We start from the raw sequence: 11,659 nt of genomic DNA, 5'->3' as shown, positions 1-11,659 counted from the left end.
TAGATGATTATTTGAATAAATGTACATTGCAAGAATTGTGATATCATGTGGGAACAGTCTTTAATATTTCCTTACTTTTTACAATCCACATTTTATAAACATTTTATAGATAGAAAATGACAATTGCAGAAGAGTAAAGAGTTTATCCAATAGTCATGTCTATAAAATAACAAAATAAAACAAAAACCCTAGAGGGTCAATGGCATAACGAAATGCCTTAAGATTGTGTGTACATCATGAGCATATATCTAAAGAGAGTTTGATTTATCATCATAGATATTTTGTCAACATGCTGCCAGATATTTAGATGTTTCTATATATCCCAATACGTGGCACTTACATATATGTAGAGCCATATAAAAATAACAGAATATTCTATTTCCCTTTTATATGTTTGAATGATGTATAGGTCATAATCATCAAAGACTGTGTGAAAAACATTGTTTTGATAAAATAGAGGATGAGATACCATGCAGCATATAAAATTATGAAGTGTGTAAAGATGATACCAAAGAAGTAAAGCAATTAAAATTTAAATGAAATTAAACTAAAATATATTTTAAAATTAAGCAGACAAGGAAATTATTCATAAAGATTATGTTGATATAAATTGGGGCAGGAAAACTATAGCAATTATATATGAATTACATATGTAATGGTATGTGTGTGAATTGTAGTGATTACTTCTAAATGATGTATGTAGTAAAATGTTATATATTTTCTTTGTTTATGTATCACATAAGCATACTATTTTTCTTCTAATGAGTAATGGTGTACTTTTCGTTTGAAATCTTGAATTCCTTCAGTATTTAAAAAAATAGAAGAAACTACTTTTTTCCAATCAATAATTCCTACATTTATTAACTCATTAAGTATTAGAAATTTTTAACAGATTTTTAGCAAATATATGCTATATCTATATTTGAATATACTAAGATAATTTTGAGTAGTATAACATTCTACAGGTTATTTAGTATCCTGTGAACAAAACAAATTTAATTGCTTTCAAATTATTTGTTGTGTGCTTTTCCAAATTCAATTAAACTGTATAAGTGATAGGATATAAGACAGTCATTAGATATATTCTAAAAGATTTGTTGATGTTGAAATATCTTTCTTGAGGAAAAGTCTATATAGATATAGTTTATGTTGCTTAATATTTATTAATATTTTTAGCTTGAAGCACGCTAGAAACAGGCCAGACGTGGTGGCTCACGCCTGTAATTCCAGCACTTTGGGAGGCTGAGGCGGGTGGATCACGATGTCAAGAGATCGAGACCATCCTAGCCAACATGGTGAAACCCCATCTCTACTAAAAATACAAAAATTAGCTGGGCGTAGTGGCACACGTCTGTAGTCCCAGCTACTTGGGAGCCTGAGGCAGGAGAATTGTTTGAACCTGGAAGGTGGAGGTTGCAGTGAGTTGAGATCACGCCACTGCACTCCTGCCTGGCGACAGAGTGAGACTTCGTCTCAAAAAAAAAATGTGCTTCATCTCATGTCCTCCAGTATATACTGTCTTTTTAAAAGTATATATATTTCACCGATATTTGATACTGAGAAGAATTAAACTGTTTATGTAACTGTAGCCTGCGGACAGTACTAGATCCAGAAATAACTTATTTGTATTTTACTTTTAGGAATTCAAGAAAATATTGTCAAGTTTAAAAAAAAAATACTGTTAGTCTCCTTCAAACGATTTGAACTAATTCAGAATTTTTTTTGTTATAAAATTTACTTTTTCACTGAGATTTTACCATGAAAGATGAGACAGTTATAAACAATTAGCATTTATGTACAACTGGTTCTAAATAATGAAAACAAAATTCAATACAAAAGCAGATTCATTTAATCTGCTTGCTCTTGGTTGATTGTAAATTCCTGTGCAAAGGATGATAGTCATCTTTATTCAGTTACACATAGGGTTATTATAAAAAATAACAAAATCAAAATACATAATCAGAATTATTGGTAATAAATTGACAGAATTTGGGTCAGGTTGAACTTCTACTTTATTTCTATAGGCACAGCCAAACAAAACACACATTTCAAAGAATTATATTTAAAATGCAATTAAGAAAGTTATATATTCAAATGAAATCTTGTACTACATCATAAAGGATATTAATTTATTAAAATCAGTATAAATTATTGTTCTATTTTCATGAGAAATCTATAATAAAATCCGGTAAGAAGTAAGACAAAAGTAGTGTCAGTGTCACTGGGAATAATCTAATAGATTTTAAGAGACTAATGATTAAATAATGAATTTGTTTTGTATTTCCTTGTCAAATGTCTATTACACTAAATTTCTTGGTAAGTTCAGTCACTTGGTTTCAAATTAAGACTGGAAAACCATAATTATTGAGCAGATTGTGAAAAATATCTGCATCAGTGAGGTTCAAAGGACAAATTAATATTTTAAATGTGTTTATCATAACTAGGATGTTTACTTTTTCTAGTTGATGACTAATTATTCTATGCTTCATTCATGCCAATATTTATTGGATGCTATGCCTTGTGCAGGGCATTGATTTTAGTATTGAGGGAAGGGGAAAAAAAAGACAATATAAGCTTTGCCTTTAAGCAGCTTAGAATAGGTGAGATCAGTCAAGTACATATGCAATTACAAAACAGATATGTGTTAATGTATTTTCTCAAATCTAAGACTGCTTAACCCATGACACATCGTTGCTCATTTTGTATTCTGGGAGGAAAATGCCATGGTTAAGTAGCAGTGTTGACCACAGGAGGTATAGAGTTGAGTAGTGGTACATATGCTGTGGGTTTGCCATCCCCGGCAGCAATGAAATGATGGAAATGGCCTAGGGGAAAAGGTTGGGAGGAGGTTTTGGAAGAGATGATAGTCAGGAATGTAGATAGAAAAATAAAGCTATTGTATGGCATTCTAGAAGCTGGAGTTTCAAGAAAGTGGAGGTTGACAACATCATCAACAAATCTTTAAAGGATAAGCACTTGAGGAGCCTTGTTCCTTCTAGTGTTTAGGAAGCAGGAAGCAACAAAGTATTTCCAGAGACTGTTAATTAGAGATTCTTTTACAAAGACTAAAACAATTTATTAAAAGGAAAATTCTATATATTAGGGAAAATAAGATGTTCAGTCATTATAGAATATCTTGAAAAGACCTATGAGATACTAATGAATGAAATTTAATTTAAAATAATAATTGTGTACCTTAAATATAGTTGCATTTTCAAAAAAGTAATCTGTGAAATTTTGTCACAGTGTGAGTATAAAAAGCAGGCAACCAAGTCTTCAATCTATTTTCTAAATCAGTGCTTCTCTTAAAAAAATAATCATTTTATTTTTATTTAACAATTACAATAGAGGTATTTTTAATATTAGGCTACTACGTAATCATGGCACACATGTTCCTAACAATAACACAAGAATTCTCTTAGAAACAAATGTTTTTGTTCATTGTGAATGTCATAGAAATGTCGTATTTTCAAAAAATAATGTTAAAGCCAGCAACAACTTATTGGCACTGGGTTGATGTAATGGTGGGAAAGTGACAGAAACTTCCATACACAAGGAATACTTTTTGTTTTAATTTTTGTATTATACTTTAAGTTCTGGGATACATGTGCAGAATGTGCAGGTTTGTTGCATAGGTATACATGTGCCATAGTGGTTTGCTGCACCCATCGGCCTACCTTAAAAAAAAATTTCTAGTGGGTTGTGGGGAGAGTATGGGAGAGAATGTGTGGATGTGGGAACTGATGGGCTGAGGTTAAATAGAATGATCCTTTTGAAGAATGACCACTTGATCATTTATTTATTTTATCACTATCTAAATTTCTTTTTTCTCCTGATTTAAAATTTGATTTTGTTTTGCTCTGAGATTGTGAACATCTGTGTGCATCATTTTTTCTAGGCTATTCTATGGTTTAAAATTTTTGACATAATTTGATTTTTGGCATAATAACAAAAATAATTTTTCTAGTCCCAAGGGGAGATGTGTTTGAAATGCATGTATGGTTAACAAGCCTAGTGCATGCTAGTACTACAGAACATCTGCTTCCCTCAATCATCTGTATTACTTGCCGTTGCAATGTATGATGTTTCCTTGGTGTCCAAAGCCTATCATCTGCGTCGTGAGGAAACAGATTGGTTTGATAAACCCAGGGAGTCTCGTTTGGAAAATGGACATGGTCTGGACCGAAAACTGCCGGAAAGATTGGTCCACTCTAGACCACTCAGTCAACATCAAGAGCAAGTAAGTGCTATATTTAGCAATTTCTTTTAGATTTATCAAAAAAGACTCAAGTCTACCCTAGAATGGTCTTAATTGTCCTAAAAGGAATGAGATGTTTGTTTATTAATTTCACAAATGATTTTTTCCAATAACATAAAGGAGTAACACAGCTCACTTCATCAGCTATGACTGACTGAAAATGGAGCATAGCTGTGATACTTCTACCAATTTAAGTGATTCATTCCTCCAACAGATCATTATTAAGTTTGTATAACATATCCAGCACAGCTATACAAGAAGAATAGATGGAGCTCTGAGAGCTTACAAGCAATTGGGTGAAATAGATTTGGGTAATTTTCAGTGCTTTCCAATAACAACATGTTCAGATGCTAAGAGCAAGTGAGAGCATGGCCAAACCGAGTGAGCTGGGATAGAAAGAACGCTTAACCTGGAGGAGAAAGGAAGCTGATATTTTAGTGGATCTATTATATGGAAATGTTAGTTGTTTTGTTATGTATTTTTGAATTTTATATGTGGAACAACTCACATAAAGTAGATATTGCTAATCAGTGTATTCTTATAGAGGAAGAAATTGAAACTTAGAGGTAAATTTCAGAATTAAATAAATATGATACCAAAATTCATGATCTCACTCACTTTTGAGAAATGAGGTGATGTTTGAATTGAATTTTGAAATACAACTACGAGACTAAGAGTTGAGTGAATTGAAGGAGAGTCTTCAGGTAAGCCAAGTGGCCTTTAATCAATTGCCTTAGCAGATCAGATATTTGCAGGTTGTGTACTCATTATGATTATTGAAATATCCAAAATAGTTGACTTATTTTATTTACATAAACCCCTAATCATCCTGTTTAGTGATTAATTGAAATAGAAAACAACCATATTTTAAACAACTGAGAAGATCCATATAGACTTACTATAATTCAGTGTTTGTCATATTGAGGTATAAAAGAAAACAAGCCTTTGACATTTATAAGTACTGTCTAAAATACATTGACTATACTCTTAGATTTGATTTATTTCTAAGCAATTTAAGTTTTCATGGACAAATTTCTACCTATTAAACAGAATTTTTTCTTAGAATTTTGTTCTGTTTTTCTATATGCTATCATATTTTCTAGAATCTTTTTAATTCCTCTCTACTATAAATTTCTATCTTTAGTTTTTCATATCTTCAATACATATTTTGTTTAGGCATATATTTCCCTCCATTAAAATGTCAATATAATTCCATTATTCTACTTCATGTAAACATATCAGCCTGTATTGAATTATGCTTTTATTAGCTTGTCTTGCTATTGAAATTGTATTTGTGGTTGTGTTTCAACTCTCATCAAATAGATCTGGCTAGAAAGTAAGAAAATTAATAAAATTATTCTGCACATTTAAAATCTTAAATTTAGCTCCTTTTATCTACAATTACTAAGATAATAAATGTCAGTTAAAAATAACTTCTTTAAATGTGTTTATTATATGAATCTCTCTAAAATGGAATACTTGTTATGTCTTCCCCATCTCATTTGTTTCTCTGAAGTTTAGTGTTTCCCACAAACCTAGATCCAGTCAAAGAAAACACAGATACTTTAACAAAATCATAGTAAGATAAACTATATAATAAACAGGGCAGCTTGTTTAGTAATTAACAAGCAGGAATATTTATTATCAACACTACTGTTTCCACGGGCACTGAGAATAGTCTTTTCCACCTAATTTATCAAACTAATATTCTTTGAGGATATATTTAAAGTAATGCGTCCAGCCCAAAAATATGTAAATGAAATATTCATATCTTTAAGGACATTCTTGTTTCTAATTTAATGTTACTAACATATACAGATTTATGGTTTTGGTCTACTGGGTACATAGTAATAATGGTTTAAATAATATATAATTATAGACCAATATAATGTCAAAATTAAGCAGAGAACATATTTTTGAGAATCATTTAATAAATTTCTTGCTATGTCTGCTCACGTAGACATACTTGTTAGGTGAATATAATAATGTGTATATTCTTGCTAAAAGTAATTTTTTACATTTGTATAATATTTTACATTTTCACATCTAACATACAAACAAAAAAACTATATATGTAATATTGAAACTGCAACTATGCAAAGTTATAAGCTGATTAAAAGTGAACAGCCATGAAACCGCCACACAGGCCAAAAAAAGGAACATTGCCTGTCCCTGAAACCCTTGTATGTCCCTTCCAGATCATAACCACTCCCTTGCCCAAATAAGTAACAAATGTGCTGACTTTTGTGACAATAATTTGTTTTTCTTTATCATTTTTTCTAAATAGATTCTACTATAACATACATTTATTTACATGAAGTTCAAAAGTTGAATTATATAAAATTCAAAATTCATGCTTTTTGCATTAATATTTATCTTCAAATACTGTCTCCCTCTTTAACTCATCATAACTATATTTTGGCTTGGAGAATTACAAAATGGCATTCTCATGTTATTAACTTCTTTGCATCTCTAATCATAAAAAGCTAATATTGAGCTCTTGGTACTAATAAACTCAGATGCTTTTATTTGAAAACATATGCATAACAAGAAATCATATTCATAAAATGCTTTGGAGGCAAAAGTAATAAAACCAATAATACTAATGCAAACACTAATTTATCTGCTTTTAAAACTAGTTTACATAAGACAAACATTAGAGGCATAGAAGAATATTTCTGAAAATTTTTTATTAGACACACAATCATATTAATTATAAAAATAAACCGAATCTTAAAGTCCATATTTGTTTCATTTCAAATATATGTGTATACTTATATGTGTGTGTATGTGTGTGTGTGTACCTATCTATCTATCTATCTATCTATCTATCTATCTATCTATCTATCTATATGCTTAACCTCTGCCTTCTTCGGTAGAAATTCAGCACTGCTTTGTGAATTGCACAGATAACCTAATCTCTTATTTTTTAATTTTACTTTAGTCACTTACTCTATAAATAATGCTAATACCTTTCACAGGGTGGTTGTAAAGGTCAGCACTTCTTGACTATTATAAAATCCCTTCACTTTCTGCACTTAACGCTCACATCATCTGCAATTCCTACCCAACTGCTGCATTGAGGTACATTAAGCTCCCATGAAAGAGCCACTCTTTCTCTTGATTCTAGGAATTTGAATGTTCTGTTTTCGCTCCTTGGACACTTTTCCTCCACTCATCCCTTGGCAAACCCTAATCATCACCCAGGTGTCCATGTAACTGCCCCATGATGCAAGAAGACTCCCCTGACACTACCACCCCCACTTCCCCAGAAATCTGGGGTAAGTGTTTTTCCTTTGTGCTCCAGTGGTGCCCCATGTATTATGTCTTGGGCTGTGAGCTTCTTGAGAGCAGCAGCTCTGTATTCCAACTACCATGTTATATATGCATACGGTGCTAGGAACTCAGCAAGGCACTCTGTCTCCTGCATCTAGAATGTGTAGTATTTAAGTGAGGGAAGGGATGTCTGTATGAATACACAGTATGTTAACAAAAAGGACATGAAGGCTATCTGTCTTCCGTGTGTGAAGTAAAGGGCTCAATTCCTTCCCTTTTTGTTAACAAACTGTTTATATATACAGGCTTGATTCATGAAAATAACTCTTTGAAATATTTGTAGGTAGGAAAGAACAGCCCTCTTTCTGGGAGGCCTATAGGCAATAATTCTATCAATGAGGAATCACCAAAAGACAATGATAACAGAGACCATCCCCTTGGGGAGAGGAATGTAGCACCACTTGACATCAGTTCTGCCCCTTGGCTTTGTGCCTACTCTTATTTGGCGTTAGCAACACCTACCCGTAACCCCATCTGCTACAGGACTCTCTCAACATTCACCCTCTGTGGTTACTAAAAAGCTGAGATTCATCTAGCTCGTACATCTAATTCATACATGGAAGACAGATAGACTTTTGGTCATATTGATCATAATTATGGCAGCTTTGTGTTTCTGATTTATTAAGTGGATTTATGAAGCTGCTTGCAGACAGGGTAGACAGTCTCTGAAACTATAGGAGATTGTATGAGATGTCCTAAAGCAATATTCAAGAAAATTAATATGTTCAACATTCCTTCTACTATAAAATAAAAGGTAATAGTGGCTATTTGATAAAACTGGTGAAAAAATTAGGAAGCCTGATGATGACTCTTCTAAACTGTGTGATAGATGCACTGTGAGATTACATCAACGTCTCCCCAGCCTGAAAATTGGAAAGAATACTAAAAGGCAAAATTGTGTTTTCTTAGTTTATTTGTGACCAAATGGAAAGAATAACTTTTTGGAATTATTATTAACTAATACCTGAGATTAGAAGAGATTGAAATAAAACAAAGTAACATCCACCAATTTTACTGAATTACCTGCAGTACCAAAGCAAAGTTCAGTTACACCTAACAGTTACAAAATTTTCAATGCATATGATTTTATTTTTAGTAAAAAATAAAGATTTTTAAATGCATATTAGGAAAAGAAAAGAGGGGAAGAAGAAGGAAAAAAGTGGGAGAAAAAGATGTGGGGAGGGCAAAAAGTAACAGAGAGAAAGGAAAGAGTGAGAGGCTGACTGAGAGACAGACAAAAGAGATAGAGACAGGAGAGAGAAGAGTGAACAGCAGGGAAGAGAGGGAAAAAGAAGAAAAATGTAAGCACTTGTTACAAATATGAATAAGGTTTTCAATGGTTTACAAAGTTAGCATTAGTATGAATTATCTGAATTGACTTATTATACTTACCCTAATATTTTTATAATTTAGTAAACAGTATTTTTGTTTTACTCTGCAGAATTCACATAATATTCCTGGACTTAACAGGATTCTGCTGTTGTTTAGGGAGTATTTTATGTTAATCTAAGGCCTGCTTAAGCTTATTCTTTCCTAAAGAGGATAAAAGCTAAAGGCTGTAATTTTAGCTTCAGTTTTTTAAATACCTGTTTTGTTTTTAATATCCAGAATTCTAACAATTTTACAGCTGGAAATACTAGGACACATTAAGTTCACAAGAGTTTTCTAAGGAATCTTTCTTCACAAAATGTATACCTCTTTAGTTCTAAATTCTGTTTTATCTTTTGGGAACACACTTCTTAAACATATTCTAAAATAGGTAATATGAAATTTTTATCTATATTAAACTTTATTTTGGTTGTAATTTAAGTCAAAAATTTTCCTATGACAATACATACAAAATTCCATACAAATAAAATCCTGTTAATATAGGTAAGAGTAAATATCTTACTATTTCTGTCTTTCATTATTTCACAAATCTCTTTTGAAAGCAAAGTTCCATGAAATATAAAGCACAAGTTTGCATTCGCTAATTTACTTTTGTTTCAGAAACGATGTTTCACCAGGTGGAAACACAGATAATGCTGTCTATAATATTCTCATATTCAAGTCTCAATAATGAGAATTGAAATCACAGATTTGCAACAGTAGCTTTAAGTGTTACTTCTTCTACCCTAAGGAATGTCTAGGAGACATAACACTATCAATAATGCAAGCTTTGAATTTTAAAAAGTATTAAAGTGAACAAAATCTTTATTTATTTATATAGAATTAGTCTCTGCGTCTAGTTTACAATGAAACTTCTAGTACCTGTGCTCAGCAGAAGTACAATGCCACAATAAATCAAGAAACACAAACATAAAGTAATCCTAATTATGATGACAGAGATGTCAAAGTAGGGGGATCTTCTCTATTTTTTCTCCCCCGGCACAACTTAATTGCTGAAAATTAAAAATGCTTTTCCCAGACTGTCCAGAGCAAAATCAACAGCTGGCAATTTTCCAAATACATTCTATATCCGAGGTCACCAATATTGACTGCATACTACTGTAGTAACAAACATTCTTCAGAACCTATTGCATGCACTTATTAATTTTTCAAATACAACAAGTCATTTTGCAAGAGCAATTGGTTATAAATGCAAACACCATAAGAACTCAGAACCAGTAATATCATTATATAGTGTTAGTGTAAGATGTTTAAATTGCCATCATGTGAGAATCTCCTACTACGTTCCATTGATTTAATCAATGTGCTTTGAAATGAACCATTCTAATTATGTATATTGCACTTTAAGTGTCTTTAATGCTGGTTTTTTACCTTACTACATGTATGTCTTAGATTATACAGATGAACGGGAAAACTATGCACTACATCTTTCCTCACGCAAGGATAAAAATAACAAGAGACTCAAAGGATCACACAGTTTCAGGTAAAGCAAATCATATAATCTAATATTTTTTTTGTTTTTTTGTTTTGTTTTGTTTTGTTTTGCATTTTTTTATTATTATACTTTCAGTTTTAGGGTACATGTGCACAATGTGCATGTTAGTTACATATGTATACATGTGCCATGCTGGTGTGCTGCACCCATTAACTCGTCATTTAGCATTAGGTATATCTCCTAATGCTATCCCTCCCCCCTTCCCTCACCCCACAACAGGCCCCAGTGTGTGATGTTCCCCGCCCTGTGTCCATGTGTTCTCATTGTTCAATTCCCATCTGTGAGTGAGAACATGCGGTGTTTGGTTTTTTGTCCTTGCGATAGTTTACTGAGAATGATGATTTCCAATTTCATCCATGTCCCTACAAAGGACATGAACTCATCATTTTTTATGGCTGCATAGTATTCCATGGTGTATATGTGCCACATTTTCTTAATCCAGTCTATCATTGTTGGACATTTGGCTTGGTTCCAAGTCTTTGCTATTGTGAATAGTCCCGCAATAAACATACGTGTGCATGTGTCTTTATAGCAGCATGATTTATAGTCCTTTGGGTATATACCCAGTAATGGGATGGCTGGGTCAAATGATATTTCTAGTTCTAGATCCCTGAGGAATCGCCACACTGACTTCCACAATGGTTGAACTAGTTTACAGTCCCACCAACAGTGTAAAAGTGTTCCTGTTTCTCCACATCCTCTCCAGCACCTGTTGTTTCCTGACTTTTTAATGATTGCCATTCTAACTGGTGTGAGATGGTATCTCATTGTTGTTTTGATTTGCATTTCTCTGATGGCCAGTGATGATGAGCGTTTTTTCATCTGTCTTTTGTCTGCATAAATGTCTTGTTTTGAGAAGTGTCTGTTCATATCCTTTGCCCACTTTTTGATGGGGTTGTTTGTTTTTTGCTTGTAAATTTGTTTGAGTTCGTTGTAGATTCTGGATATTAGCCCTTTGTCAGATGAGTAGGTTGCAAAAATTTTCTCCCATTTTGTAGGTTGCCTGTTCACTCTGATGGTAGTTTCTTTTGCTGTGCAGAGGCTCTTTAGTTTAATTAGATCCCATTTGTCAATTTTGGCTTTTGTTGCCATTGCTTTTGGTGTTTTAGACATGAAGTCCTTGCCCATGCCTATGTCCTGAATAGTAATGCCTAGGTTTTCTGCTGGGATTATTATGGTTT

General features: G+C 32.5%; 1 protein-coding gene across 7 annotated transcripts in view; it reads left to right on the top strand.

The window, feature by feature from the left end:
• PCLO (piccolo presynaptic cytomatrix protein) overlaps positions 1–11,659 on the top strand; it is a 408,873-nt gene that overhangs the window by 249,768 nt on the left and 147,446 nt on the right. For all 7 annotated transcript variants that reach the window (XM_017012006.3, XM_047420211.1, NM_033026.6 and 4 more), the window contains 2 exons: positions 4,104–4,240; positions 10,376–10,466. In XM_017012006.3, the coding sequence (XP_016867495.1) occupies positions 4,104–4,240; positions 10,376–10,466 (228 nt within the window). The remainder of the gene's footprint in view (positions 1–4,103; positions 4,241–10,375; positions 10,467–11,659) is intronic.

This window comes from Homo sapiens, chromosome 7 (genome assembly GCF_000001405.40).
Source record: "Homo sapiens chromosome 7, GRCh38.p14 Primary Assembly".
Classification (NCBI taxonomy): Eukaryota; Metazoa; Chordata; class Mammalia; order Primates; family Hominidae; genus Homo; species Homo sapiens.
The sequence above is the reverse complement of the archived record's forward strand: the minus strand, read 5'-3'. Positions and strand labels throughout refer to the sequence as shown.